At 39.0% G+C, this 6,000-nt stretch overlaps 1 pseudogene, besides 1 other annotated feature; it reads right to left on the bottom strand.

Annotated features, from left to right (window-relative positions):
* Nucleotides 2,991-3,492: an enhancer, noted in NCBI's record as "OCT4 hESC enhancer chr19:59112203-59112704 (GRCh37/hg19 assembly coordinates)". NCBI's record gives its function as "activates a minimal SCP1, AML or CMV promoter by ChIP-STARR-seq in primed H9 embryonic stem cells {active_cell/tissue: H9 hESC(primed)}" and the evidence as "EXISTENCE:reporter gene assay evidence [ECO:0000049][PMID:30033119]".
* Nucleotides 4,844-5,372, bottom strand: RPL23AP79 (ribosomal protein L23a pseudogene 79; annotated as a pseudogene).

Here is a 6,000-nt window from a genome sequence, read left to right as displayed (position 1 = left end):
CTTTTCTCTTTTTCTCATTTTAATCTGTCAGTTTTTACAGAGCGTTCCATCTAAGAATTCCAAAAACAGAAAATTATTTTTCCTCCCCTATTACAAGTTGGGCATTTTTTTCCAAAGCTAAACAAGTCTCACCTTACAATCCAAAAATAACATTCCTAGGTATTTTGACAACTACTTTGATGTTATTTCCCATCAAAAGCTACCATGCAGTTATTTACAGAAGCCCTATTCATAATGACCAAAGGAAAAAAAAGGAATCAGAAAGTCTTACAATAGATGACTGTGTGGGAATCCACTCAGACATCAAAAGTTGTTATAAAGATTATTTAAATGAAAACATTTGAGATACTGAAGATGAAGAAATCTTACCAGAACTTACTTTATCCAATTAAAGCACAGCTCCCAGAAAAATACAGCTGCCATTAACCCCATCCAAGGAGTTTCTTGCAAATTCAGCTGCCATGAAGACAGCGTACTCTTTCCCATTAGCATTGATAAATGAAAATTAAATTCTAAGCTCCCAACTGACTGAACAGACCCACTCTTGGCTGAGGGGACCCCAGAGTAACTTTCAAAACTGAGTTCTCAGCTTTGCTAGGATGGGATGATGGGGTTAAGATACACATCGTTATACCCCCTCCTTTGCTAACCATGATGAGGCTTTCTTCCCTAAGGATTTAACAGAAACCAGCCCTTTCAAAGCCTCCACTACTGATATCAACCTCTCCTTTCTTGCCTGATAAGAGACCACCCACGATGGAGAGGTTCTGGCCAGCGTACAGAGGATGCACAGAGCAAGTTTTCATGTCCTCTGCTTCACCTTTTAATGTCAGAGGGCTGAAAACTCCACCCTGGGATCATGCTAACACTGCCATTTTTTGTACATGGGACCCATGAAGAAGCAAGAAACTCAATTGTGCGTGCATGCATTTCTCCTTCCATAAATATTCATGACTCCTCCTAGAGCTTATTAAATAAATCTATTTGGCCATTCCACTCAGCATAAGTTGCTATTTCCTTTACCTCCTCCTTGAAGCATCTGTTTCTGGCTTCTGGCTGGAGGCTATGCTTCCCAGCCTGTCAGAAGGACAACCCTGCAGGCTACAACCCTTTATAGAAAATAAATCTCTCACTGGGTGGGTGGCTCATGCCTGTAATCCCAGCACTTTGGGAGGCCGAGGTGGGTGGATCACCTGAGGTCAGGAGTTTCAGACCAGCCTGGCCAACATGATGAAACCCTGTCTCTACCAAAACTGCAAAAAATTAGCCAGGTGTGGTGGTGGGCATCTGTAATCCCAGCTAATCAGGAGGCTGAGGCAGGAGAATCGCTTGAACCCAGGAGGCGGAGGTTGCAGTGAGCCAAGATCACGCCATTGCACTCCAGCCTGGGCAACAAGAGTGAAACTCTGTCTCAAAAAAAAATAAAAATAAGCATAAAAATGAAGAAATGTCTCCTTTCCAAATTTATGAACCTCATCATTCTTCCATTGACAGCATTAAAAGGTTCAAAAAGACCTTTCCATACTCTCCCACAGAAGCCCTAGAAATTGTCATTTTGTTAATCATTCTGGATGCCTGAGAACTTGTAATCCAATGAGTAGAAAGTTTGGTACCCCATTTATGGCTGTCAACCTGCCAGTTCTCAGGAGTTTGTATAAAAGCCTAAATCCGAAAGGATCTCATCCCATTAGGACCCTTGTCTCCTTTTCTGTTGCCTTTGCCCACTGGCTCTGGCAACAGGGGTCTTTCTTTCTCCTTGGCTATCTTTGGATATGGGGGCTCCATCTTCTGTGCCACCTTAGGGAATGCCTTTTGCAGGCATGGCTAAGTCATTAAAAAGCCTACAGTTTCAGTAACATTTTGAGTGAGCACTCTCTGAAGCTGCGTTGGAATCTCAGGCTTCTTTGTCTGGAAGATAACTCTTGGGCTACAAGTTTCTTATCCTAGCTTTGGTTTTGAGGCCTCTCTGTTCTCCTCTTGGGTTGGAAGTTATTCCTGGCTTTTTGTTTCAAGGTGTCTCTGTGATCTTGATCTTGCTGCTTTCATGGGAACTTCTCAGTTCACTAAATTCTCCCTTCTCCAACCTCTGCTGACTATGTGTTCCACCAATATGGAACTAATTCTACTTCTTTTCCTGTTTGCATGACTTTACTAAGAATTATTTACAACTTTAATGGCTCCTTTGAGAAAATTTTTATTTTCCAAATTGCCTCCTTTTAGACCTTTCCTTTCCCAGTTGAGTCTCTCAACTCCCTATAATCACTGAAACTTCAGGCACCCCACTCCATGCCTTGGAGGCTCTCAATGTGCTCAAGAATCTGCAAAAGCAAACACCTGGGGCTGAAGAATAAAATAGAAAAAAAATTATTTCTCAGCCTCCATAAGATTCTATGTCAAAAAAAAAAAGAAAATCTTTAAAATCTCCAAAAATATTGGTGAGAAAAAAGCCTTAGCCCTCATATAAAGAAGAAAAAACTTGTTCCATTTTCCAGATACATAGTTATAATACAAATATAAAATGGGGCAAAGACAAAAACCAAGTCTTCTATATAAACTAGTGAATTTTGTAGTTATTGTAATCACATTAGGCAGGGGTCTCCATAAAGGCAGAATCAATAGGATATATGTAGATAGATGAGAGAAGATTCATTAGGGGAACTGGTTCACATAATTATGGAGGCTGAGAAGTTCCACAATAGCCTGTCTCCAAGTTGGAGAACCAGGAAAGCTGGTAGCATGGCTCACTCCAGATACAAAGGACTCAGAATCGGGGAAGCCAATGGTGTAACTCTGATTGTGAGGCCAAAGGTCTGAGACCCTGAAGTTCTGATGTCAAGGGCAGGAGAAGAAGGATGTTTCCATTTCAGAAGGAGATAATTCACCTTTCCTCTTCCTTGTTATTCTATCTGGGCTCTCAACCAATTGGATGGTGCCTGTATTCATCCATTTTTATACAGCTATGAAGAAATACCTGAGTCTGAGCAATTTATAAAGAACAAAGGGGTTTAATGGGCTGACAGTTCCACATGGCTGCAGGGGCCTCACAATCATGGCAGAAGGGGAAGCAAAGCTATCCCTCTTCACATGGCAGCAACAAGAAGTGCTGACCCAAAGGGGAAAAGCCCCTTATAAAACCATCAGATCATGAGAACTCACTCACTGTCATGAGAACAGCATGGCGGTAACCACCACCATGATTCAGTCACCTCCCACTGGGTCCCTCCCACGACATGTAGGTATTACAGGAACTACAATTCAAGATGAGATCTGGGTGGGGACACAGCCAAACCATATCAGTGCCCATCCACATTGGGTCATGGTTATCTCAGTGTCTTCCAGAAACACCCTCATAGATATGCCCAGAAATCGTGTTTGACCAGCTATGTGTGTCTCTTAATCCACTCAAGTAGATGTCTAAAATTAACTGTCAGAATATTTATGCCTGATTCATGGCTGAAATTGTTTGACCAGCTGTGTGTGTCCCTTAATCCAGTCAAGTAGATGTCTAAAATTAACCGTCAGAATATTTATGCCTGATTCATGGCTGAAATTGTGTTTGACCAGCTATGTGTGTCTCTCAATCCAATCAAGTAGATGTCTAAAGTTAACCGTCAGAATATTTATGCCTGATTCATGGCTGAAATCGTGTTTGACCAGCTATGTGTGTCTCTTAATCCAGTCAAGTAGATGTCTAAAGTTAACCGTCAGAATATTTATGCCTGATTCATGGCTGAAATCGTGTTTCACCAGCTATGTGTGTCTCTTAATCCAGTCAAGTAGATGTCTAAAATTAACCGTCAGAATATTTATGCCTGATTCATGGCTGAAATCGTGTTTGACCAGCTATGTGTGTCTCTCAATCCACTCAAGTAGATGTCTAAAATTAACCGTCAGAATATTTATGCCTGATTCATGGCTGAAATTGTGTTTGACCAGCTATGTGTGTCTCTCAATCCACTCAAGTAGATGTCTAAAATTAACCGTCAGAATATTTATGCCTGATTCATGGCTGAAATCGTGTTTGACCAGCTATGTGTGTCTCTCAATCCGATCAAGTAGATGTCTAAAATTAACCGTCAGAATATTTATGCCTGATTCATGGCTGAAATTGTGTTTGACCAGCTATGTGTGTCTCTTAATCCACTCAAGTAGATGTCTAAAATTAACCATCAGAATATTTATGGCTGATTCATGGCTGAAATCATGTTTGACCAGCTATGTGTGTCTCTTAATCCACTCAAGTAGATGTCTAAAATTAACCATCAGAATATTTATGCCTGATTCATGGCTGAAATCGTGTTTGACCAGCTATGTGTGTCTCTCAATCCGATCAAGTAGATGTCTGAAATTAACCATCAGAATATTTATGCCTGATTCATGGCTGAAATTTCAGGATGAAAGCTATGAAATCTCTATTTGTGTTTGTGTATCTATTAATGTATGTTATGTATATGTGATATTTTCTTAACTCCAGAGAGCATTACAAAATTCATTTATGAAATCCTCTAAAAGTGCTCTATTCTAACTTGGCTTGGAAAAAAATAAGCATTTATAAATAAATATTCACCAAACTCCTAGAAATATAGGAACTGATCAAATGTTTCTTAAGTTAACATGATTTGGATAAAACTTAGTTAAATAAGATTAATATAGTATTTTTGGTGTAATAAAACAACTATATCTTCAAAATTATCATTATTGAATATAAAACAAGCATAAATTCCTATTCTGCTTGAGTTCTAGTCAAATAAGCTAATATTATACTTACTAGAAACGTAAAATCTTAAAGCTTATAGATTTGATTCTAATTAAGTTGTCATTCTTATGAAAAACATTATTTTTTTATGCTGAAAAGATACACATATATTTAGAGTTAGCCAGCTGGACTCAGTTTAGGTGATCCCAATTTTGTTACAACATCGAAAGCATCATAATCAGGAGCAAGTCGAACATATGCCTTCTTCTCTTTATCAGGACAAATCAGGGTGGTGACCTTGGCCACATCACTGTCATAGAGCTTCTTCACAGCCTGTCTGATCTGGTGCTTGTTGGCTTTAACATCCACAGTGAACACAAGCGTGTTGTTTTCTTCTATCTTCTTCACGGCCGACTCAGTGGTCAGCGGAAACTTGATGATAGCATAGTGGCCAAGCTTGTTTCTCCTGGGGGTGCTCTTCCGAGGATATCTGGGCTGCCTCCGGAGTCGCAGTGTCTTGGGCCGCCTGAAGGTGAGTGACATGCGGATCTTCTTTTTTGCGTGTGGCTGCGGACACCTTTCAACACTGCCTTCTTGGCCTTTAAAGCCTTCGCTTTGGCTTCGGCTTTAGGAGGAGCAGGAGCTTCCTTCGCTTTCGGTGCCGTCTTGTGAAAAGCGAAAAACATTATTTCAAAAATAATTTGTTTACAGTAAATCTGCCTAAGAATAGTTTCCAAAGTACTTTTGGTAATTTTTAACCTTAAAGTTAAGCTAAGTAAAAGATTTGCATTAAATATCTAGACCATTTATAAATAAGATACAATACTAAAACATTAATTACTGAACATAAATAATTCAAGTTTATATACTTTTGGCTTCCTATTTTTACAGAGAGACTAAAGATATTTTGGCCCGTTAATAAACATGTTTTTTTCTGCCACACTGAGGAATTGTATTATGAGGAAACACATCCCTCTAGATGTTGGGAGATGGTATATTCATACATTTTCTAACCTACTATAGAATGCTAATATATGACAGTTTATAACTGTCTACTTCCTAGTTTTCTCTGGAAAATAAAAGATTACTAAGTATTAAAATTATAATCAATATATGTAAATAAAACTACTAGAAATAATAGAATAACTAGAAACAACTCTATGCAAAGCATGCAAGAAAAGTAGGGCATGTTTCGCAAGTAAAGTAGGTTGCATTTTTTATAAGGAAAACCATACAGAAGATACAAATAAAAAGAGATACCTAACCTTCCCTGTGTTATATTTGTATGGGTAAAATGTTATGTT

This window comes from Homo sapiens, chromosome 19 (assembly GCF_000001405.40).
Source record: "Homo sapiens chromosome 19, GRCh38.p14 Primary Assembly".
In the NCBI taxonomy this organism is placed as follows: domain Eukaryota; kingdom Metazoa; phylum Chordata; class Mammalia; order Primates; family Hominidae; genus Homo; species Homo sapiens.
This window is presented reverse-complemented; position numbering and strand designations above follow the sequence as displayed.